The sequence below is a fragment of the Homo sapiens genome, chromosome 19 (assembly GCF_000001405.40).
Source record: "Homo sapiens chromosome 19, GRCh38.p14 Primary Assembly".
NCBI lineage: Eukaryota > Metazoa > Chordata > Mammalia > Primates > Hominidae > Homo > Homo sapiens.
Genome location: NC_000019.10, coordinates 38,451,487 through 38,475,074, shown reverse-complemented (window position 1 = coordinate 38,475,074; position 23,588 = coordinate 38,451,487). Strand labels below are relative to the sequence as shown.

Genomic DNA, 23,588 nt, shown 5'->3' with positions numbered 1-23,588 from the left:
GGTTATATGGGGGTCCCCCTAAGTCAGCATTTCCCACATGCATTTCTCGTATAGGTGCTAAATGCACTTGGAAAAGGACAATTCTTCATTGTGCGGCACTGTTTTGTACACTGCAAGGCAGGCGGAACCCTGGGGCCCCCGCCCAGCAGCAGCAGCCCCTCCCAAACTGTAATGACCACAAAGACTCCATCATTTCCAAACATCCACCAAGAGACACAATGGGTTTTCAATCCCATTGAAAACCTCTGCCATCGTACGGATCACCTGAGGTCAGGAGTTCAAGACCAGCCTGGCCAACATGGTGAAACCCTGTCTCTACCAAAAATACAAAAATTAGCCGGGTGTGGTGGCACACACCTGTAGTCCCAGATACTCAAGAGGCTGAGGCAGGAGAATTGCTTGAACCCAGGAGGCGGAGATTGCAGAGAGCCAAGATCGTGCCATTGCACTCCAGACTGGGCAACAGAGCAAGACTCCATCTCAAAAAAAAAAAAAAAAAAAAAAAAAAAAGGAGCCGGGCGTGGTAGCTCATGTCTATAATCCCAGCACTTTGGGAGGCTGAGGTGGGTGGATCACCTGAGGTCAGGAGTTTGAGACCAGCCTGGCCAACATGGCAAAACCCCGTCTCTACTAAAAATACAAAAATTAGCTGGGCATGGTGGCGCGTGCCTGTAATCCCAGCTACTCAGGAGGCTGAGGCAGAAGAATCGCTTGAACCCGGGAGGTGGAGGTTGCAGTGAGCTGAGATTGCGCCATTGCATTCCAGCCTGGCGACAGAGATTCCTCCTCAAAAAAAAAAAGATAGAAAGAAAAAAAGGAAACCACTGCCATTGTAGGGAAAAAGCAGATTTAGTACCTTCTCAGAATCTCCCTTTAAGTTAGATTTCGGGGGGTACATTTGTGACACAGAAAGGATCCCCATTTAGAAGACCACTGGGTATTCACTGGGATACCTTACTGTGCAGTAAACTCTCCTAGGAAGATACTGAAGTCCCTTTTAGTGTCCACGGATGATAAGGTCCATTGGGCGAAGCCCTTTGGGGCCCTCCAGGTACTCAAGGATAATAGAGTTCTCCATATAGATACTAGGGTACCCAATTATATATTCTTGGGGACATTAGGGCATCCCAGGAAAATAATGGGGTTCATTGGAGACATGATAGAATCTCTCGGTATTCTTACTCCACTTAGCATATATGGGTCTACTTTGGGGTACAATGGGGGTTTCTCAGGTTACTGTGGTTGCCTACTTGGGGGTCCCAAGGCAGCCCCCAATCCCCACTCTGGGCCCCCCTCGACTCACCCTCTCTTCTTGTTCTTCTCGGTGGTGGCATCCTTCTCATTCTCCGCCCTGGCGGGCTGCGCCTCTCCCCCCGCCTGCGGGGTGCCCCCGGGGGCGCCCTCCTTCGCAGTCCCTTCTTTGCCGTTCTCTGCCTCGCTCCAGCCCCCAGCTGAGCGGCGCAGGTTTTCGTAGTCAGGGTCGGGTTCCGCCGCCCGGGCCTCGTCCTCGGCGGGGGGCTGCAGGCCAGGAGGTGCCAGCGGGGTGGCCCCTGCAGTGCAGCGGAAGTGCTGGTGGAACTGGACTGGGAGGCTCAGCCGCAGGAAAAGCATCTCCACCAGGCTGTTCTGGGAGCCCCAGGTGCGGTGGGTCAGGCGCAGGCAGGGGGGCGTGTCCACAGTGCCGTCCACTCGGGATACCTGAGGTGGCAGGGAATGGAGTACTGGGCTGGGCAGGCGGGCTAGGCCAGGCCGTTGGTCCTACACCTGGTCACACACGGAGCCACCATTAGGCCATAGTGCACCTGCATGGGAATTAGTCAAGGGCCCCCCACTCCTGCAGGGGGATGAAGCTCCCGGCCGGGTACACCGCTGGGCCCTGGGGTGCTTGCAGCCCTCTGCAACATTTCTCTGGGCGTCGTGTACACTAGCAGCCCCGGACACACACTGGAATCACTTGGGGTAACTTCCAAAACCTCCCTACATCCATCTAACAATCTACTCTGTCATTCTGTAACCAGTAACCAGGCAGCTCAACTTCAATGCTTTTTTTTTTTTTTTTGAGACACAGTCTTGCTCTGTGGCCCAGGCTGGAGTGCAATAGCAGGATCTCGGCTCACCGCAACCTCTGCCTACAGGGTTCAAATGATTCTTGTGTCTCAGTCTCCTGAAAATTTGCCCCAAAAACTGTGCGTACAAGATTCTTTGTTCTCAGACTTCTTTTTTTTTTTTTTTTTTTTTTAGACAAGAGTCTTGCTCTGTCACCCAGGCTGGAGTGCAATGGTGTGATCTTGGCTCACTGCAACCTCTGCCTCCTGGATTCAAGCATGAGCCAACACGCCTGGCTAATTTTTGTATTTTTGGTAGAGACGGGGTTTCACCATGTTGCCCAGGCTGGTCTCAATCTCCTGAGTTCATGTGATCCGCCTGCCTCAGTCTCCCAAAGTGCTAGGATTACAGGCGTGAGCCACCACCCCCAGCCAAGTTTCCCCTTTTTAAACCCTTGCTTTCCCCCCTAGATTTGAAGTGGTTGCTTCGGATGGGAATCCGGTCACTTCTCCATGACTAGTTTTGATGAATAAAGTCATTTTCTTTCTACCAGACCTCGCTCTTGTTAATTGGACTCTGTAACTGATGAGCAACTGAACCTGTGTTCAGTTACAATTCCACAAATAGCGACAGGGCGCAGTGGCTCATGCCTGTAATCCCAGCACTTTGGGAGGCTGAGGCGGGCTGATCACCTGAGGTCAGGAGTTTGAGACCAGCCTGGCCAGCATGGTGAAACCTCATCTGTACTAAAAATACAAAAAAATTAGCCAGGCGTGGTGGCACATGCCTGTAATTCCAGCTACTAAGGAGACTGAGGCAAAAGAATCGCTTGAACTCGGGAGGCAGAGGTTGTGGGGAGCTGAGATCTTGCCACTGGACTCCAGCCTGGGTGACAGAGTGAGACCCAGTCTCAAAAAACAAAAACCAAAAACAATGGACTCTCAAAAGTCTCCTAGAGACTCGGTAAACAATGAAAGTTGTTCTCTTTCATGCCCCTCCTCACGTTGACCTCTCCAAGGACCAGTTGCCAAGATGAACCTAGGTACTCCTTGCCAGCCAATGAATTTGCCCTAAAACTGTGCATACAAGATTCTTTGTTCTCAGAATCTTTTTTTTTTTTTTTTTTTTTGAGACAGAGTCTCGCTGTCACCCAGGCTGGAGTGCAATGGTGCAATCTTGGCTGACTGCAACTTTTGCCTCCTGGGTTCAAGCAATTCTCCTGCCTCAGCCTCCCGAGTAACTGGGATTACAGGCGCCCGGCACCATGCCTGGCTAATTTTTTGTATTTTTAGAAGAGACGGGGTTTCACTATGTTGGCCAGGCTGGTCTCGAACTCCTGACCTCAGGTGAGCCACCCACATCGGCCTCCCAAACTGCTGGGATTACAGGCATGAGCCACCGAGCCCAGCCTGTTCTCAGACTCTTTAGGGGTCTTTTTTCTCTCCTCTTTCTCCCCTCTGTCTTATAAATCTGGTTTCTGCATTCACTCTTTTTTTCTTAGAGACAGGTCTTGCTCTGTCACCTGGGCTGGAGTGCTGTGGTGCAACCACGGCTCACTGCAGCCCCGAAATCCTGGGCTCAAACAATCCTCCCACTTCAGCCTCCCAAGTGGCTGGGACCACAGGCACATACCACCATGCCCAGATAATTTTGTTTATTCTGTGTAGAGACAGGGTTTTGCTATGTTGCCCAGGCTGGTCTTGAATTCCTAGGCTCAAGTGATCCTCCCACCTTGGCTTCCCACAGTGCTGAGATTACAGGCGTGAGCCACCGCATCCAACCAGCCTTTGTTCTTTGGCAATAGTCTACTGACTGAGCTCCCTCCTGTGATTTGCATTCAAAGTAACTAACAATGTCTCTGAGTTATTCTTTCATAGTAACCAATTTCCCAACTGAGCACACCACAGATCCGCTCTGCCTGTTCTTGAACTTTCTGTGAATGGAATCCCACAGCCTGTGCTCTCTTGTCTCCGGCTTCTTCTACTCGACATTATGTCTGAGATTCGTCCACATGGCTGTGTGTATTTCCAGGTATTCATTCTCACTTCCGTGTAGCATGCTGTGCCTTGGGTTGGGGACATCTGGTAGTGGCAGGTGTCAGGAACTCTGCGTCCACTCTGCAGTACTGCCCCGTCCCAGCCACCTCTAGGATCCTTCTGACTCCACTGTCACCTCCTACAATCCACTGCCAATAGGGACCTTTCCAAAACTCAGACCTCAACTGGACGTTCCCATACTTAAAACTCCTTTTGCAGAGTCCTTCTGTTTTGTTTTGTTTTGTTTGTAAAGATAGGGTCTTGCTCTGTCACCCAGGCTGGAGTGCAGTGGTGCAACCTCAGCTTACTGCAACCTCCACCTCCTGGGTTCAAGTGATTCTCCTGCCTCAGCCTCTTGAGTAGCTGGGACTACAGGCACCCGCCACCACGCCATTAATTTTGGGGGAGTATTTTTAGTAGAGATGGGTTTTTGCCATATTGGCCAGGCTCATCTTGAACTTCTGGGCTCAAGTGATCTGCCCGCCTTGGCCTCCCAAAGTGCTGGGATTACAGGCATGAGCCACCATGCCCAGCTCTTTTTTTTTTTTTTTTTTCAATGAGACAGGGTCCTCTCTGTCACTCAGGCTGGAGTGCAGTCGTGTAATCAGCTTACTGCAGCCTCGACCTCCTGAGCTCAGAGGATCCTCCTGCCTCAGTTTGCCGAGTGGCTGGGACACCAGGCATGTGCCACAGCACCCAGCTAAGTTTTAAAAATTATTTATTAAAAAAAAATTTTTTTTTGAGATAGGGTCTTGCTCTGTCTCTTAGGCTAGAGTGCAGTGGTGTGAACACAGCTCACTGCAGCCTTTAACTTTTTTTTTTTTTTGAGATGGAGTTTCGCTCTCCTTGCCCAGGCTGGAGTGCAAGGGCGCAATCTTGGCTCACTGCAACCTCCATCTCCCGTGTTCAAGCGAGTCTCCTGCCTCAGCCCCCTAAGTAGCTGGAATTACAGGCATGTGCCACCACATCTGGCTAATTCACTGCAGTCTTGACCTCTTGGAATCAAGCAATCCTCCAGTCTCAACCTCCTGAGTAGCTAGGGCTATATGTGCATACTACACACCTTGCTAATTTTTTTTTTTATTTTTTGTAGAGACGGGGTCTCCCTATGTTGCCAAGGCTGGTCTTGAACTCCTGGGCTCAAGGGATCCTCCTGCCTCAGCCTCCCTAAGTGCTGGGATAACAGGCATGAGCTACCATGCCTAGACTTAATTTTTTTTTATTTTTAGAGATGGAGTTTTGCTTGTTGCCCAGGCAGGGTTTCCCTTATTTTATAGGTGAGGCACCTGGACCTCAGGAAGCTGTGGTTTGCCAAAGTTACACCCGGAGTCATACAGCCCGTGAGCCCATCACTCTGACACTTGCTTCCATGTGGTTTGTGTCCTAACATGGAGGGAAAAGAGAAACTCAAAGAAGAGCACTGTGGAAGGAAGGAGCTTTGGAGGCAGATGAGAAGGCATTGAGGGGCTCAGTCCTTACCTCATAGTGAGGGTGTTCAAGGGGCACTGGCTCAAACTGGGGCAGGCCTTTGCTGAACCAGGTGGTGACTGGGCGCTGCATGTTGATGGCAAATGGCTCGAAGCCTTCCTGGAGGCCACAGATGGCAAAGAACCTCAGAGAGCTCACGTCCTGGCCCAGGTTCAGATGACCCACCTGGCCAGGTCCCAAGCTGCAGACGGGCAGGAAGCCTGGTGGGAGGGGATGGATGGGCAGGGGTGAGGGCAGGTGGGCAGGGCAGAGGGAGCCGAGGGGAGGAGGTAGGGATGGGAGAGTTGGAGGCAGAAGGGCAGTGCAGGGTTGGGAGAGACAGAGGAAAACAAGAAAGGGCATGTGAAGGGGTCTCAGCCCTCACCGTCCCCAATCTCAATCTCCCGGAAGGCTGTTTCGGAGCCTGAGTCAGACATGAGGACCTCGCCATTGAGGGTGAAGATAATGGTGTTCTCTGTGAGGTCGATCATACAGCCAACGACATCGCCCGGCTGCCAGGGGCGCCCAAATGGTTCACTGCCCAAGTGCCAGCGCTGGCCCTGTGAGGACAGCCAGAGAAGACATGGTGTGGGGAGACACACAGAGAAATGGAGAGATAAGGAAGCAGGGAGGGAGAGATATATGAAGACAGACATTCGAAGTGTCAGGTTCAGGGCAGGTGGTATGGAAGAGGGGTCACCCCACAGTGTCTCCATCTTTCCTCACATTTGCATCCATGATCACAGGAATTTTTCTCCCCACTAATCTCTGTGTCTCATCCCTTCTGCCTGGGTTCTCTGCTGTTGCCATGGCTAGCATTATGCAGACCACCAAAGTGGTAGTGGGGGGCTGGAAGCAGCAGTAAGTAGAGGGATGGAAAGGAAAAATGAACCTATCAGTGTCCCCATACAGATCCATATATGCTTATATACATGCACAAAATAGATGAGTGGCTAATGAGACAGATAGATGGATGAGAAATTGGGTACATGGCTGGACAGAAGAATGATTGGAAAGTTGAGAGTTTACCTGGGTTGATACAGAGAAAGAACAAAGTGTAAGTAGGGGCAAGCATAAATAAATGGATGACAGATAGAGGGAAGAAGGGAAGGATGGTTGTATAAATGGTTGTTGGATGGGCAGATGGTTATTGGATGGATGGATGGACAGTTGGCTGGAAGAATGGATGGATGGATGGTTGGTTGGATGGATGAGGGATGAATGGATGATGGATGGATGGTTGAATGCATGGATGGATGCATGGTTGGCTGGTCAGATGGATAGATGATGGATGGATGGATGGATGGATGGATGGATGATGGGACTATATGTGCATGCTACCTTGCCTAGCTAATTTTTTTATTTTTTGTAGAGATGGGGTCTCCCTATGTTGGCTGGATGAATGGATGGTTGGTTAGCTGGATGGATGGTTGGATGGATGGATGGATGGATGGATGGATGGATGGATGGATGGATGATGGATGGATGGATGGATGGATGAATTGTTGGTTGGATAGATGGATGTCTGATAGATCGATGGATGGATGGATGGATGAATCATTGGTTGAATGGATGGATAGATGGGTGGATGAGTGGTACAGTAGATGCATGAAGTGGGGACAGAGTGAGGCACAGACAGAGGCAGGGCCAGAGTAGACAAGCTGTGGGAGAGACCACAGGACCTGGCAGAATGGTGCCCAGGGAGGTACCCACGCGGTGCCCATTGAAGACATAGGCCAGCTCGTCAGCTCCCAGCTCTACATCAGGCCTCAGCTCGGGCCTCGCCCAGCCCACGCGCATCTCGCCTGTGGTGACTGCTTCAAACTCGAAGTACCAGCGGCCGCTCTGCACTGTATAGGATTTCTCTGCCCGGAAGATGCGCACCCGGTCACAACGAGACTGGTTCTCCACCTGACCTATAAATGAGGCCAGGCAGAGTCAGAGAGGCTAGGGAAGATGTGGATCCCAAGACATCGAGAAGTTGGTAGAAGACAGGCTTTGGGGGACAGTAAGGGCTTTGGGGAACTGTTGGAAGAGGGTCAATTTCTTGGAGTTAGAGGAGAATTGGGGAACCTCAGAAAAGTCAGAGAGAGGCAGGGACCTGTTGAGAGAGACCCCCATCTCTGTAGCAGTCAGAATTCTCAGAAAACAGGGATACTGGCAGAGACACAGAAGGAAAAAGCCAGCTCAGTGAACTGGTCAGAGTTATGGTCTGGGGTTAAGGGTCAAGATCAGGGTTGATTAGAATGAAGGGCTGAGACCAGGATTGGAGGGTCAGAGCCAGGATTATGGAAGGGATGGAAATTCAGGTTGGGGCCAAGAGTTGAGAAACTGAAGGTTGGGGACCATGGCCAGGGTTTGGGGTCAAGGCTGGGATTGGAAGCCAGTGATAGGTCAGGAGTCAGGTTAGGGGTAGGGGTGACCAGGCTCTCTAAGCCCTTGGTTGGGTGCCTTCATGTGGTAGCTACAGTTCAGAGATTAGTGATTAGGGATCAAAGCTAGAGGTCAGGAATCAGAGTCAAAGGTGGGGTTGGCACTCATTGGGTTCCTAGGCTGACGGCTCTGGTTTGCAGTCATAGCCCAGGCAGGGCTGGCGTCAGGTAAAGGGAAGTGGTTCCATCAGGTTCCGAGTTGGAACTGGGGTAAGGCTCAGAGTTTCGGGGAGGGGTCAGTCCTTTCTGACCTCCTGGTCAGTCTGCTCGATGTGATAGATATAGCCCATTTGGGCCAGGTGCAGTGGCTCACGCCTGTAATCCCAGCACTTTGGGAGTCCGAGGCAGGCGGATCACGAGGTCAGGAGATCGAGACCATCCTGGCTAAAACGGTGAAATCCTGTCTCTACTAAAAATACAAAAAATTAGCCAGGCGTGGTGGCACCCGCCGGTAATCCCAGCTACTCGGAAGGCTGAGGCAGGAGAATGGTGTGAACCCAGGAGGTGGAGCTTGCAGTGAGCAGAGATCGCGCCATTGCACTCCAGCCTGGGGACAGCGAGACTCCGTCTCAAAAAAAAAAAAAAAAAAAAAGATATAGCCCATTTGGGGGCTGAGTCAGGTCAGAGATCAGGGATCGGGGCTGGGGTCAGAGTTGGGGTAGGAGTCAGGGCCAGGGCCAGGGGTGAGCACTCACTGGGCTCCTGGTCAGGAGGCTCGATGTTGTAGCCGTAGCCCAGGAGGGTGCGCACGGCCTGGCAGAGGCTGTCCCGGTTGCTGCGCTTGGTGGCTTCATCCAGCAGGCGGTAGGGCACCAGCCGAGGGTTTCGGCGCGCTGGGATGTCCTGCACTGCGCTGTAGCTCCAGCCCTGGCCCACGCGGTCTCGGGCCCACACGTTGTGCCCATTTTCTGCCAGACGGTCCACCAGTGTCGTCTGCGCCGGCGTCAGCCGCACGTGGCTCAGGTCCAGCGGAGCCGGCTTGTACCCATTGCTCATCATATACCTGCGGGCATGGTAGGGCTCCATGGGACAAGGCCCTCACCTCCACTTCCGGGCTCTGCACTATATGGGATCCCTGACTGCTGACCCTTGTCCCAGCTTCGGCGTTTCTGACCTTTGATATAATGTTGCAGTTCTATGAAATTTTAGAATAAGTTTTGAGATCCCTGGCTTCTGACCCTAGGATCCTGGGACCCTAGCAAGGGCTTTGACATCAATGACCTCTAGCCCCCTTTGTCTTGACTTTGGGACCCCTATCTCTAACCCCGGAACTCTCTCAGACCTCTCACCACTAACTTTGAGGTTTTTCTCTCTCTTTGTTTTTTTTTTGATACGGAGTTTCACTCTTGTTGCCCAGGCTGGAGTGCAATGGCACGATCTCGGCTCACTGCAACCTCCACCTCCTGGGTTCAAGTGATTCTCCTGCCTCAGCCTCCGGAGTAGCAGGGATTACAGGCATGTGCCACCACACCCGGCTAATTTTGTATTTTTGGTAGAGGGTGGGTTTCACCGTGTTGGTCAGGCTGGTCTCGAATTCCCGACCTCAGGTGATCCGCCCGCCTCGGCCTCCCAAAGTGCTCGGATTACAGGCGTGAGCGACTGAGCCCGGCTCTTTTTGTTTTTTTGAGGTTGTTTTCTCGTTCTGTCACCCAGGCTGGAGTGCGGTGGTGCAATCATGGCTCACTGCAGCCTCAAACTCCTGGGTTCAAGCAATTCTCCCATCTCAACCTCCCAAGTTGCTGGAACTACAGGCATGTCCCACCACCATGTCCTGCTAATTTTTAAATTTTTTGTAGAGGGGTCTCACCATGTTGCCCAGGCTGGTCTTGAACTGGGCTCAAGTGATCTTCCTGCCTCAACCTCCCAAAGTGCTGGGATTACAGGTGTGAGCCACCTCACCCAGCCCACTCTGAGGTTTCTTACTCTGATCCCAGTCCTCATCCACCCCAAACTCCTGGGTCTGGAGTCCTTGACCTCTGAACTCAGGACGTGTAACTGCTCACCTATAATTTCAGGATCCCTTACTTAGACGACTCCAACGACCTCCAGATTCTCACCTCTTACCATTGGCCCCTTACCCCTTACGTGGACATGTGACCTCTGCTCTCATTTTCCCTGACTCTAGGCAGACCCTGAGCCTGGATCCTGGACTCATACCCTCCCTCTCTCTCTCTCTGAAACTCCTAACTCCTCAATCCTGGACATTCACCTCTGACCCCAGAGCCCTGACCCTATGACCTTCACCCTAACCCAAGTCTCCTTCCTCCCTAACCTCAGCCTCCCCACAAGACCCCTCGACCTCCCCAGCCCTTAGCACAGCATCCCCAGCCCCCAGTCCATCCCCAGACGGGACCTGGCTGCCCACACTCACGTCTTGGGGAGTTTTGTCTTCTTCAGGTTGTCCTCCGCCTTCTCATCCGCCATGCCCACGTGGCAGCCCAGAGCCAGCAGAGTCCTGGGGGTGGGGGAGTGGAGGCGACAGGTCACGCCCCTCAGAGCTCCCTGCCCCGTCTCCTCCCACGGCCTCAGGGTCTCCAGCTCCCTCTACCTCTGCTGCTTCAGTGCCTGGGGCGCTCTGGCCCTGTCTCTCTTGATCCTGGCCTCAGGCTTCATGACTTCTGTCTTTCCCTGCGCCTTGTCTGTATAACTAACTATGTCTGTCTTTTCCTGTCTGCCACTTTCTCCTGTCTCCCTGTCTCTTTCTGCATCTCTCTCTCTTTCCATCCCCACCTTTTCTTTCTCTCTCTTTCTGCCTCTGTCCCTTTCTTGCTCCCCGTTTGCTTCTTTTTTTTTTTTTTTTTTTTTTTTTTTTTTTCTGAAACGGTGTCTCGCTCTGTCGCCCAGGCTGGAGTGCAGTAGTGTGATCTCGGCTCGCTGCAACCTCTGCCTCCCAGGTTCAAATGATTCTCCTGCCTCAGCCTCCTGAGGAGCTGGGATTACAGAGGTGCACCACCACGCCCGGCTAAGTTTTGTATTTTTAGTAGAGACGGGGTTTTGCCATGTTGGCCAGACTGGTCTCGAACTGCTGACCTCAAGTGATCCACCCGTCTCGGCCTCCCAAAGTGCTAGGATTACAGGTGTGAGCCACCGTGCCCGGCCACTCCCCATTTGTTTATGTCTCACAATCCCTGTCCCCTCCATCCTTCTCTCTCTCAGTCTCTACCTCCTGCCCTGTCTCTCCATGCCTCCCTCCCCCACCGCACCAGCAGCCAGCCCCAACCCCCGGCTCCCCTGGGCCCTCACTTGAGCGTCTCCCCAGACATCTGCAGGTTGTAGTTCCTCTCAGGCTCTGGAAGGCTGTGGAAGTCCACAAGACACGGGTGCAGCCTCTTGTTGTCATCCCGAACCTGGAGAAAACCCAGGGTCAACTCCATGTGCTCCCCTTTCCTTCCCACTCCCCACATGCCCAGACTATGACCCCTGACCTCCAACCCTAGTTCTGCCACCCTCAGTCCAAGGACCCCCTGGTGCCCTGTGGTCCCTCCCTCCTCTCCGCCGGTGAGCCGCTCTCCCTCCTGGCACCGCAAGTCTAGCCGGCCTCCCGCAGGCTGCAGGCAGCCCCTCACCGGGCCGTAGGTCCAGCCCTGCTCGATGCGGGTTAGCGCCCAGAGCTCGTGGATGTTCTCCGCCAGCTTCTCCCGAATGCGCTCCAGATGGGGCGGCAGGACAATCTAGAGGCAGAGGGACGTTCTTGAGACCCCAAGGTCCCTCTACCCTCCTCCATCATGACCCCTCTTTCCAAGAACACCTGTGAGCCCTGGGAGGCTCCTCCAGCACCCCCTTTCCCACCATCCAGCAGCCCTGCTCCCCATCCCTCGCCTTGACTCCAGGGTTGACACTCAGATGGGTGAGGGCTTAGCATTCTCAGAATTAAGGAATTATCCAGGGCCAGCCGTAGTGGCTCACATCTGTAATCCCAGCACTTTGGGAGGCTAAGTGGGGGGGGGGGGGGCAGATCGCCTGAGGTCAGGAGTTCAAGACCAGCCTAGGCAACACGGTGAAACACCTTCTCTTCTAAAAATACAAAAAATTAGCCAGATGTGGTGGTGCGCACCTGTAGTCCCAGTTACTTGGGAGGCTAAGGCAGGAGAATTGCTTGAACTCTGGAGGCAGAGGTTGCAGTGAGCCAAGATTGTGCCACTGCACTTCAGCCTGGGCAACAGAGCAAGACTCTGTCTCCAAAAAAAAAAAAAAAAAAAAAAGAAGAGAGAGTATTAAGGAATTATCTGGGACGGGTCTGTCTCCCCCGTGGACTGGGAGCTCCATGAGGGCAGGGCCTGGGGCTGCCCTGGTCTCCACCAAGTCCCCAGCCCTATCCAGCCCAGAACCAGACTCAGACCCAGAAGAGAGGCTCAGGAAATGTTTGCTGAATGAAAAGAATGGAGGAGTCTCCTTCCTTCTCCGTATGAGGATCATAGCGATACCTAATAAGGACTCAGTGAGATCATTAATGTAAATTACTAAATGTTACATAGTTAATATCGATGCCTGGCAGAGGGTAAGAGCCTAGTAGACAGTAGCGGTGTTGGCGTTCCGCAGGCAAGAGGCAATGATGGTTTGGACTTGGGCGGGACATGGGGATGAGGAAAGCGGGGTCGGGGGGATGTCTGGGAGGCCGAGTGGACAGCCCACGAGGCTGACAGGCTGGGGGATGGGGACAGAGGCATCCAGGGTGAGGCCCAGGGCACTGGTCTGGGGACAGGGGGATGAAGTCACCCCCGCAGATGATATCACTGCTACTAATAATGAGTGACTGTCTTGAGTGCTTACTGTTTAATCAGGACTGGACTAAGCATCTTGCCTATATCCATTCATCTTACCTTCACAACAATGAACAATGCTATCAGATATCAGGGTGTTATCCCCTTTTCCTCACGGAGGAACAAACTGAGGCTCAGGGAGGGGAGGTCACATGCCCAAGATCACGTGACTGAAAACCAAACCTTTGCTGTCAGGCTTTTAAACCTAACCTATATTCCCTCCTATAGGGACATGCTTGGAGGGAAGGCAAAAACAGTCCTTTCTTTCTTTCTTCTTTTGAGATGGAGTCTTGCTCTGTCGCCCAGGCTGGAGTGCAGTGGTGCGATCTCGGCTCACTGCAACCTCCACCTCCCGGGTTCAAGTGATTCTCCTGCCTCAGCCTCCTGAGTAGCTGGGATTACAGGTGCCTGCCACCATGCCTGGCTCATTTTTGTATTTTCAGTAGAGATGGGGTTTCACCATGTTGGCCAGGCTGGTCTTGAATTCCTGACTTTAGGTGATCTGCCCGCCTCAGCCTCCCAAAGTGCTGAGATTACAGGCATGAGCCACCACACCCAGCCTTTTTCTTTCTTTCTCTCTCTCTCTCCCTTTCTTTTTTTTTTTTTTTTTTTCAGGGTTTTGCTCTGTCACCCAGGCTGGAGTGCAGTGGCACAATCATAGCTCACTGCAGCCTCGAATCCCTGGGCTCAAGTGACCCTCCCATCTCAGCCTCCCAAGTAGCTGGGACTACAGTCGTGGACCATCACCTCAGCTAACTTTTAATTTTTAGTAGAGATGGGGTCTTGCTATGTTGCCTAGGCTGGTCTCAAACTCGTGGACTCAAGCAATCCTGCCTCGGCCTCTCAGAGTTCTAGGATCGCAGGTGTGAGCCACCCTTTCTTTGTGGGGCAGTGGTGAGGACTCCCTGAGACTGCGATTCTGCTCTGACAGAATCCTTTGCCTCTCTGTGCTCAGTTTCTCCATCTGTTAAACAACGAGGTTCCCAGCTTCTAGGGCAGCTCCCCACCTCTCTCACTCCTTTTAAAAAATTGTCTAAATTTGTAAATATTAAAAATTTTTTTCTATAAAGACGGGGTATCACTATGTTACCCATACTAATCTCGAACTTTCGGGCTCAAGCGCGAGGCCCCCACTTCGGCTTCCCAAAATGTTGGTTGTTTTTGTTTGTTTGTTTGTTTTGAGATGAAGTCTCACTCTGTTGCCCAGGCTGGAGTGTAGTGGCACGATCTTGGCTCATTGCAACCTCTGCCTCCCAGGTTCAAGCAATTCTGCCTCAGCCTCCCGAGTAGCTGGGATTACAGGCACCTGCCACCATGCTAATTTTTGTTTTTTGTTTTGTTTTGTTTTGACATGGAGTTTCACTCTTGTTGCTTAGGCTGGAGTACAATGGCGTGACCTCAGCTCACTGCAACCTCCACCTCCCGGGTTCAAGCGATTCTCCTGCCTCAGTCTCCCGAGTAGCTGGGATTATAGGCGCCCGCCACCACACCCAGCTAACTTTTTGTATTTTTAGTAGAGACAGGGTTTCACTTTCACCGTGTTGGCCAGGCTGGTCTTGAACTCCTGACCTCAGGTGATCCACCCGCCTCGGCCTCCCAAATTGCTGGGCTTACAGGCGTGAGCCACCACGCCTGGCCATCCAAAGTGCTGGGATTACAGGCATGAACGATGGCACCCTGCCCCCTCTCTGACTCCTAAGAGACCCTGCCTCGCCAGAAAACCTTTGCAGGGCAGGCAGTACCTGGACAGTGTCCACAGGGCAGGGCACGAAGTCGGTGTGTGAGAGGCAGCGACTGGGGCCCACCAGGTGAGGCCCCCGGGGCCCCTCCCGTCGATACTCCTTGATGGGTTCAAGATGGAGTCGCTCTCGAGGGAGCACAGCCTCATGGCATGGAGCATAGCCAGGTGGGGGCAGGAACTTGAATTCACCATGGCGGCCACCAAGGAGGAACCGCACCCTGGGTAAGGAAGGACAATGGGGATCATTGAGGGGAGGTTATGGGGGACAGTCTGTGGTCAGTGGGGGACATGGAAGCAGTCCTGGGATCAATGGAAAGTTCTGGGGAGACCAAAGGTCACCGGGCAGTCATAGTGTCCTGGAGGTCATTTAGAAGTCATAAAAGAAAGTCTAGAGTCAAAGGAATATCATAAGGGAATTAAGAGCCAGGGAGTTGAGAGCGGGAGGGTCTCTGGTTAATCTAGAAGAGTTCAGATGACTGCAAGGTCATGGAACAGTCCTTCAGAGGAGACCCCAGGTCAACAGAGCATTCGGGGTCATTGGAAGGTTGGGGAGACCAATAAGAAGGTCATTTGAGAAGTCACTGAGCATCTGTTACAATTATGAAATAAACATAAACACCACTGAATGGACATTCGGAGAGCTTGGGGTGATTGGGAAAGGACTGGATCATTGGGGGGTCTTTGGAATAAATGGGGTTATTCGGGAGCAGGGTCACTGGGCAAGTCTGGGTCTATTGAAAGGTCATCGGGAGATGCTGGCATTATTAAGAGATTATTGAGAGAGTATGGTGTCATTGGAAGAGTCTGAAGTCATTAGGGGGTTAAGGAGGGTCTGGAGTCATTAGATCATTATCAGATTCTGGAGTCATTGGGAGAGTCTGAGGCCACTGGGGAGTCAAGGAAGGTCTGGAGTCATGAGATCATCAGATTCTGGAGTCACTGGGAAAGTCTGAGGTCATTGGGAGGTCACCGGAAGAACCTTGGGTTGTTGAGAGACCACTAGGAGAGTCTGAGACCATTATCTCAGAGGTTACTGGAAGGACGTGGGGTTAGGGAGAATCTGAGGTCATTGGAAAGAGTCTGGAGTCACGTGGAGGTCCCTGGGATCTTCAAGTAAGGGTTCTGGACACCAGTCAGTCTTGATGGTAGGCTGCAGTGTCCTGGCCTCCTGGGGGACCATGGAGTGACTGGGGAAGCTGTCTCAGGTCAGTCCTAGGTCTGAGGACTGGCCGTGGGGTGGGGGCAAGTTCTCACTTGACACCAGCCGAGAAGCTGACAACAGGGAAGAAGAGCCCGTCCAGGTTGAAGGACTCAAAGACACCCTGCACGGGGCAGCCGTTGATGCGGAAGGAGATGGACGGCACGCTGAGGTCCAGGCAGCAGCTGATCACGTCTTCAGGGGCCAGGAGGTGCTGCCCTGGGGAAGTCACTGGGCGTGCCACGTGTCCTGCATCAGTCACCAGAGATGGGTCAGACGTCACAGGTCCCACAGAACCAATGATAACAAGAGAAAAGGGACAGATATTGGAGGCTCCTGTGGAGATTGCATCCTGGAAACCCTAATGGAAAGTGCTCCCTTGGATGCTCCCGTAGCTCTGAAATGAAGGGCAGAGGTCAGGGTTCCCCTGAAGTTAGGATTCTGAGCTGTGGGGCCAGAGATTAAATCCTCCTGGGGGCCGGATGCAGTGGCTCACACCTGTAATCCCAGCACTTTGGAAGGCCAAGGCGGATGGATCACTTGAGGTCAGGAGACCAGCCTGGCCAATGTGGTGAAACCCTGTCTCTACTAAAAATACAAAAATGAGCCGGGCGTGGTGGTGCATGCCTGTAATCCCAGCTACTCAGGAGGCTGAGGCAGGAGAATTACTTGAACCCGAGAGGCAGAGGTTGCAGTGAGCTGAGATCATGCTACTGCACTCCAGCCTAGGAGACAGAGTGAGACTCCATTTCAAAATAAACAAACAAACAAACAAACAAACAAAATAAATAAATAAATAAATTCTCCTGGGGTTAGAAGTCAAAGATCAGAGATCACAGTAATCTGCGTGGTCTTCTGGGATATCTAGGGTCAGAGGTCACACCTACTCTGGGATCAGAGTTCTGTAGGTAACGAGGATACAAGTCAGAGCCGGGAATCTAGAAGCTCTGGGGTTAGGGTCTTGGGAAATGAGGACTAAAAGGTCAAAAGTTGACCTTTTCAGGGAGTCAGGATCCTGAGAACCCCAAGGTGTATGGTCAGAGACTTAGAAATGCTGGGGTCAATGGTCAGGGGTGAGGGTCCCCTGGAAGGGGTCAGGTACCTGTCCAGAGATGCAGTCCATCAAAGCCGTAGGAATAGAGGTCATCGCCGACCCCGTTGCCGCCCCAGCCCTCGCCGGCCCCAGGGTAGGGGGTGTAGCCCTCGGTGAGGGCCCAGCCCACCCGCAAGTGGGTGGCCTGAGCTGTCAGAAATGGAGTCACCTCGTCCACCATCACCTCAAAGTACCATTTGCTGTACTGCGTGGTGCCTTCCGCTCGGCCCACAAAGATGTTGGGGCGGATGCTGCAGGAGAGATGGGACAGGAGAGGGGGATGACGGAGAGGCAGAGAGGAGAGCCAAGTGGTGGGAAGCCAGAGAGAGACAGACATCCAAAGACAGAGAGAGAGAGATGGGAGAGAGACAGGGAGAAAGACATGGAGGAAGAATCAAGACAGAAACAGGCAAAGATAAAAAGAGAAAACAGAGAGAGAGGGAGAGGGAGAAAGAAAGAGAAACAGATAGAGGCAGAAATGGAGCCAGGAAGACAGAACAAGAGGAGTGGATGCCAAGGGAGAGTGGGGCCACAGTGGACATCTGTGAGGACTGGTTGTTAACCCTGGGGTGGGAGATTAAGGAAAGGACATCCATCTGGGTGTGGAGTCTCTAAGTCAGGGAGAGGGTTGAGAGGTTCTGAGTTCTGGGGTCAGATGTTGAGAGCCAGACCTGGTGACATAGTTGATGAGGTTTGTCTGCAGCAGAAGCTCACGGCCAGGCAGCAAGTTCTCAGTAATAAGATCTTGGTTGGAGCGTACAGCCACACCATTACACACACACAGGGAGCATAGCACGTCCAGGACCTAGAGGTCAAGGTCAGAGGTTAAAGGGTGTGTAGGCACCAGGGCAGGATCTACAGAAGAACCCTGGGAGGGAGGGAAGCCAGGAGGAAAGGACAGCGCATCGGGATAAGATGTGGCAATTTTGACTGAGAGGAGGTGGTGAAAGTGGAAGGTCAGGGATCAGAGAAAGGTTAGGGGTCAAAGAGGAAGATCTGGCAAGAGGCTGAGGGAGGGTCACATGAGTTGGGATAAGGTATCAGCAATGTAAGGAAGGAGATACTGGAGTAGTGAGGTAAGAGGTCAGAAGGCAGACTGAAACGACCAGTGAGAGACACAGGAATCAAGATGAAATTTTAAATCAGCAGGGGTTGCAAACTTGTGTCTTTAGGGGCCAAGTGGAAAATGTATTAGGCTGGAGCAAAAGTAATTCTGGTTTTTGTTATTCCTTTTTTTTTTTTTTTTTTTTTTTTTGGAGATGGAGTCTGGCTCTGTCGCCCAGGCTGGAGTGCAGTGGCGCAATCTCAGCTCACTGCAAGCTCTGCCTCCCGGGTTCACATCATTCTCCTGCCTCAGCCTCCCGAGTAGCTGGGACTACAGGCGCCTGCCACCATGCCTGGCTAATTTTTTGTATTTTTAGTAGAGACAGGGTTTCACCGCATTAGCCAGGATGGTCTCGATCTCCTGACCTCGTGATCCGCCCGCCTTGGCCTCCCAAAGTGCTGGGATTACAGGCGTGAGCCACCATGCCCGGCTGTCATTCCTTTTAATAGCAAAACTGCAATTACTTTTGCTCCGACTGAATAAATGTGTGAAGTGGTTAGAAATAATGCAACAGGAACTTGTAGGGCTATGGCAAACTACAGAGTGTGTGTATATATATACAGTCCACCTAGAGGCTGTAATATTTGAAAATTTTAAAAACATTTCAGCGCCACCGGTGGGGCACGGTGGCTCACACCTGTAATCCCAGCACTTTGGGAGGCCAAAGTGGGTGGATCACCTGAGGTCAGGAGTTCGAGACCAGACTGGCCAACATGGTGAAACCCTGTCTCTACTAAAATTACAAAAATTAGCTGGGCGTGGTGGCGGGCACCTGTAATCCCAGCTACTCAGGAGGCTGAGGCAGGAGAATTGCTTGAACCCGGGAAGCAGAGGTTGCAGTGAGCTGAGATCATGCCACTGCACTCCCACTCCAGTCTGGGTGACAGAGCGAGACTCTGTATCAAAAAAAAAAAAAAAAAAATGCCAGGCGCTGGTGGTTCACGCCTGTAATTCCAGCATTTGGGAGGCTGAGGTGGACGGATCATGAAGCCAAGAGATCGAGACCATCCTGGCCAACATTGTGAAACCCTGTCTCTACTAAAAAAAAAATACAAAAATTAGCTGGGCGTGGTGGTGTGTGCCTGTAGTCCCAGCTACTTGGGAGGCCGAGGCAGGAGAATCGCTTGAACCCAGGAGGCAGAGGTTGCAGTGAGCCAAGATAGCGCCACTACACTCCAGTCTGAGCGACAGTGTGAGACTCTGTCTCAAAAAAAAAAAAAAAAAAAAAACATTTCAGAGATCTAACCAAGCACATCTGTGGCCCAGAATCAACTTAAGAGTCATTGTTTGAGACCCCTGTGTGGAGATGAAAGCCAGTGGGAGTGGCGTACAGGTGAGAGATGAGATGGAGGAGGGAAGTGAGGGAGTGAGCAGAGTTCTGGAGCCCTGGGGAGAGGCCAGCATTCAGAGTTCAGGGGATGAGAGGTCAGGGGTGAGGGGCCGACCTTGTGGTTCCTCCCATGCTTGTCCAGGAGGGAGATGATGGACTTGATGTGATTCTCCTGGATGATGTTCAGAACCTCTGGACTCTCAATGAGGACACAGTACAGGACCTCCAGGATGCCTGCCAGGGTGCCCAGAATGAGAGGTGAAGCGGCCATGCCCATCCCCTCCCACAAGCCTCTGTCCCACTCCCCCGGGTTCTCCTACCAGACGAGGCCTCCAGCCGATCCAGCTTGCTGACCAGCCAGTCCAAGTTTGTGGAGAAGAGGGCACAGTTGCTACGATTGCCACGGATTAGAGAAGCTGAGGGGGGAAGAGGTGTCAGATCCAATAGGACTGGGGATCTGGGGTGTTCTCAGGGGAGTCAGGACTGGGACCCCTACCTAGGAGTTCATAGAGAAGATTCACAATCTCTTTCCAGGACTCGGCTGCCTCCTCCCCTGCAAACTCAGCAAAGTGGGCAGCAGTGGTGTAGACATTTAGGCGGTCTATGCAATTCAGGACCATGGAGAGCATCCCCTAGGATGAGGAAAATAAGAGGCATCACAATAGGAGACCCAGGCCCTCCCTTCCTTGTCTTTCTTGGATTCACGAATTCATATTCCTTCAACAACTAGTGACGGTGTGTTCCCAGATCTAAATCAGCCCCTTTGGTTTCATATTCCCAATCAGTCCCATTGCTCTCCTCTCCTCCTTGGCTCCCCATATCTATTCTTGTCCTCTCTGACTCTATCCCCAATATGAGATTCAGTCTATGATAATTCAGTCCTTATTAACACCAGGACTGAGTTTATACTTCCCCTTCCTGCACTTTTCTCTCCATCCTACTCACTTCCAGGAACCCCACTCCCACCAACCATCCAACTGGAACCCCACTCCCACCAACTGGAGAGGCCCAGTTCATTCTCCACACCAACCATCAGAAAGATTTTTCTCACTTTATCTTTTCTTTTCTTTTTTTTTTTACATTTTAATATTTTTTCTTATTTCATTGTGAATCATAATATACATACAGAAAAGTACATAAAACATATACAATCAATTCTCATTATTCATAGTTATGTTCTATAAAGTGATTATGAAGACTGAATTATCAAATACTGAACCACTGCTTCTAGGGGAAATACAGGGAGTCCCTGAGAGTCTGTGACAGTATTTTCATCAACCACTTATTACATAACCTTGTTTTTTATGTTTCTGTTTAAAGACAGTTATTTAATATATATTGTTGAGTCATTAACATTAAATTCACAGCCAACAGTACTATAACTCATGCCTTAATTAAGCTTATCTAACACATATTTTCTCAGTAAGGCACATCATAGCTTTCTTGCACTTAGGAAAGCTAGACAGCACTTCAGCACTACACTTGGGAGACATTATAAACAGTGAAATCAACAAAAAGGACAAAACTGTCTGGGTGCAGTGGCTCACGCCTGTAATCCCAGCTCTTTGGGAGGTGGAGGCGGGTGGATCACCTGAGGTCAGGAGTTTGAGACGAGCCTGGCCAACATGGCGAAACCCCATCTCTACTAAAAATACAAAAATTAGCCAGGCGTGGTGGCTCACACCTGTAGTTTCAGCTACTTGGGAGGCTGAGGAGGCAGGAGAATCATTTGAACCTGGGAGGTGGAGGTTGCAGTGAGCCAAGATCACACCACTGCACTCCAGCCTGGGTGACAGAGAGAGACTCTGTTTCAAAAAACAAGACAAAACAAAACAATTGTTGTATCTGCATCCTGGGGCCTAGATCAGTAGTGAGAGGAGCAGTGCCTCAAAGTGGAGAGCACAACCAAAGTGGCATCACACTGACCGGCTCTGCCACTAACTAGCTGTGACTGTAGAGGACCAAAACCTCCTGTGGCTCCCAAAGCCAAAGTCCTCACCAAGGCCTGGCCCTCGTCACCTCTCTGCCCTCATTTCCTCCCACTCCCCCACCCAAGCCTCCCTGCTCCAATCACCACCTGACTGTTTCTGGAACATGCCAAACACCCGCCCACCTCATGGCCTTTGCACATGGCTTCCTCTCTTCCTCCAGGTCACCCTGTCTGACAGCTCTGTCTTAAACTGCAAAACCCCAACACTCCCTACCCCTTACCTGCTGAATTTTTCTCTTTAACAGTTATTACCATCTAATATGCCATACAATTTACTTATTTATTTTATTGATCTCCTGTCTCTCCCCGCCATGTCAACTCCATAAGGACAGAGATTTTTTTCTGTTTTGTTCACAGCTGGCCTCCCCTCCCTAATGCCCAAAGATCTATTTCTGCCTCGGCACCTCCCATACCCCACACTGATTCTGTCCGCCCACCCCACAGACCCCGCGCCAGCAGACCCCGCCCGCTGAGTCGGCAGCCCTACCTCTGACCTCTGGCCCCACTCCTGGCCTCACCTCCCCAGGCCTCACCCTATACCTGAGCTTCACATAGGCCCCGCCCCTCAGCTCTTTTATTCCATCCTTCTCTCCAGGCCCCGCCCCCTGGTCGGCCATACGCCCTGCCCCTTCCCAAAGGTCCTGCCCACCAGCACAGCAGGCCCGCCCCTCCCAAGGCCCCGCCCCATCGTGTTCTCACTGGCTGGGGTTCCTGTCCGGCTCCTTCTCCTGCCCCGCCCCCTTCTCAGACCCTACTTCCCCAGGTCCCTCAGGCCCTGCCCCGCCCAGCGCCGTGGCCCCGCCCCTCAGTGGTCCCGCCCCCTGGGCCCACAGGCCCCGCTCCGCCCTCGCCACGTCCTCACCTCCTCCTGGAAGAGGCTCTGGCGGTTGCGCAGGCTTCGCAGCTTGCTCTGCTTCTCCTCGTGCTGCAAGTCCTCGGAGGGAGGCTCGAAGTAGATGATGAGGTCCTGCAGGCTCAGGATAACGCCCTCGATGGGCAGCGCCGTGCCAGCGGGTGGCCCCGAGCCCCGTGGCTTCCCGCTGAAGCTGTCCAGGCTCCTACAGGGACCTCGCAGCTGTCAGCCACGGCTGGGAGCGCTAACTGCCGCAACGTCACTGCCGCAACCTCACTCCCGCAAGACTCCCCCAGACCCACCCGTTTTACAGAGAGGGAGACCGAGACGCAGAGAGGGAAAAGCATTTGTCCGAGGTCACACAATGGCCAAGGGCAGAGCTGGGACTGGGACTCGCTCCTGTGTAGGTACAGGGGGGTCCCGGAACTCAGGGATGGAGAGGTCCAGGGTCCAGGCTCTGGGTGTCAGGGGTGTGAAAGTTGGGTGATGATCAGGAATGTGATCATGGTTGTCAAGGTCAGATTAGGGGTCAAGTGTACAGAGGTCAGGAGTTTAGAGGTTAGGGGTCATGTGTATATTATTGTTATTATTTTTTGAGAAGGGTCTCGCTCTGTCAGTGAAGCTGGAGTATAGTGGCTCACTGCAGCCTCTGCCCCCTCGGCTCAAGCAATCCTCCTTCCTCAGCTTCCCATGCAGCTGGGACTACAGGCACGTGCCACCACACCTGGCCAATATTTTGTTATTTTTTTTATAGAGACAGGGTTTCACTATATTGCTCAGGCTGGTCTCGAACTCCTGGGCTCAAGCGATCTGCCCGCCTCAGCCTCTCAAAGTGCTAGGATTACAGGCATGAGCCACTGTGCCCAGCCTAATTTTTTTTTTTTTTTTTTTTTTTTTGGTAGAGGCGGGGTCTCCCTATGCTGCCCAGGCTGGTCTCAAGCTCCTGGGCCCAAGCGATCCTCATGCCTTGCCCTCCCAAAGTCTTGGGATTACAGGTGTGAGCCACTGCGCTTGGCCCATGTATATGTTAGACAAGGGTGTGGGCAACAGAGGTAGAGATGAAAGAGGCCAAGTGTATGGATGCCCGGAGCATGGGACAGCACAGGAGTCACCCCAGCAGGGAGGGCAGGTTGCTCACTTGATGAACTGGTTGTATAGGCCATTGGTGCTGTGGATCATGCGGGCGGCCTGGGACTCCTCCTGCTGGCAGCGGGTCAGCGACAGTGCGTCGTCCATGTGGCCCTCCTGGTGCAGCATGGCCTAGGAGTGGGGAGACAGAGGTCTGGAGTGGGCCCAGCCACCCAGGGCCATGCCCCCAAGACGTCTGTCTAGACTTGAGTTCTGCACTTGCCCCCTCCTCCCTGCTCTGCAGAATCTCACTGCAAATTCCTCCTCATTTTTCTGTCCCCCGTCATCTGTCTCCTCTGTGTCTTTGATTCTCTCTCTCCTCTCTGTCTCTCTCTGTCCCTGTTTTTGGTTTTGTCTGTCTTTGTCTCTCTATCTCTCTCACCTCTGTCCCTGCCTCTCCCTCTCTATC

At 52.4% G+C, this 23,588-nt stretch overlaps 1 protein-coding gene across 6 annotated transcripts in view, besides 4 other annotated features; it reads right to left on the bottom strand.

Moving 5' to 3' along the window:
- Positions 1-23,588, bottom strand: part of RYR1 (ryanodine receptor 1) — a 153,874-nt gene that overhangs the window by 112,490 nt on the left and 17,796 nt on the right. For all 6 annotated transcript variants that reach the window (NM_000540.3, XM_011527205.3, XM_006723317.3 and 3 more), the window contains exons 12-28: positions 23,190-23,311; positions 22,061-22,256; positions 19,705-19,840; positions 19,529-19,624; positions 19,324-19,442; positions 17,445-17,578; positions 16,783-17,024; positions 15,737-15,929; positions 14,484-14,700; positions 11,548-11,652; positions 11,225-11,328; positions 10,353-10,436; positions 8,677-8,984; positions 7,263-7,465; positions 5,935-6,109; positions 5,562-5,770; positions 1,304-1,698 (exon numbers count right to left, since the gene is read on the bottom strand). In NM_000540.3, coding sequence (NP_000531.2) covers positions 1,304-1,698; positions 5,562-5,770; positions 5,935-6,109; positions 7,263-7,465; positions 8,677-8,984; positions 10,353-10,436; positions 11,225-11,328; positions 11,548-11,652; positions 14,484-14,700; positions 15,737-15,929; positions 16,783-17,024; positions 17,445-17,578; positions 19,324-19,442; positions 19,529-19,624; positions 19,705-19,840; positions 22,061-22,256; positions 23,190-23,311 — 3,038 coding nt within the window. The remainder of the gene's footprint in view (positions 1-1,303; positions 1,699-5,561; positions 5,771-5,934; positions 6,110-7,262; positions 7,466-8,676; positions 8,985-10,352; positions 10,437-11,224; positions 11,329-11,547; positions 11,653-14,483; positions 14,701-15,736; positions 15,930-16,782; positions 17,025-17,444; positions 17,579-19,323; positions 19,443-19,528; positions 19,625-19,704; positions 19,841-22,060; positions 22,257-23,189; positions 23,312-23,588) is intronic.
- Positions 10,374-10,970: an enhancer, noted in NCBI's record as "H3K27ac-H3K4me1 hESC enhancer chr19:38954745-38955341 (GRCh37/hg19 assembly coordinates)". NCBI's record gives its function as "activates a minimal SCP1, AML or CMV promoter by ChIP-STARR-seq in primed H9 embryonic stem cells {active_cell/tissue: H9 hESC(primed)}" and the evidence as "EXISTENCE:reporter gene assay evidence [ECO:0000049][PMID:30033119]".
- Positions 11,481-11,982: an enhancer, noted in NCBI's record as "H3K4me1 hESC enhancer chr19:38953733-38954234 (GRCh37/hg19 assembly coordinates)". NCBI's record gives its function as "activates a minimal SCP1, AML or CMV promoter by ChIP-STARR-seq in primed H9 embryonic stem cells {active_cell/tissue: H9 hESC(primed)}" and the evidence as "EXISTENCE:reporter gene assay evidence [ECO:0000049][PMID:30033119]".
- Positions 19,719-19,919: a silencer, noted in NCBI's record as "peak3472 fragment used in MPRA reporter construct". NCBI's record gives its function as "represses an SCP1 promoter by STARR-seq MPRAs in K562 erythroleukemia cells {active_cell/tissue: K562}" and the evidence as "EXISTENCE:reporter gene assay evidence [ECO:0000049][PMID:32103011]".
- Positions 21,761-22,288: an enhancer, noted in NCBI's record as "H3K27ac-H3K4me1 hESC enhancer chr19:38943427-38943954 (GRCh37/hg19 assembly coordinates)". NCBI's record gives its function as "activates a minimal SCP1, AML or CMV promoter by ChIP-STARR-seq in naive H9 embryonic stem cells {active_cell/tissue: H9 hESC(naive)}" and the evidence as "EXISTENCE:reporter gene assay evidence [ECO:0000049][PMID:30033119]".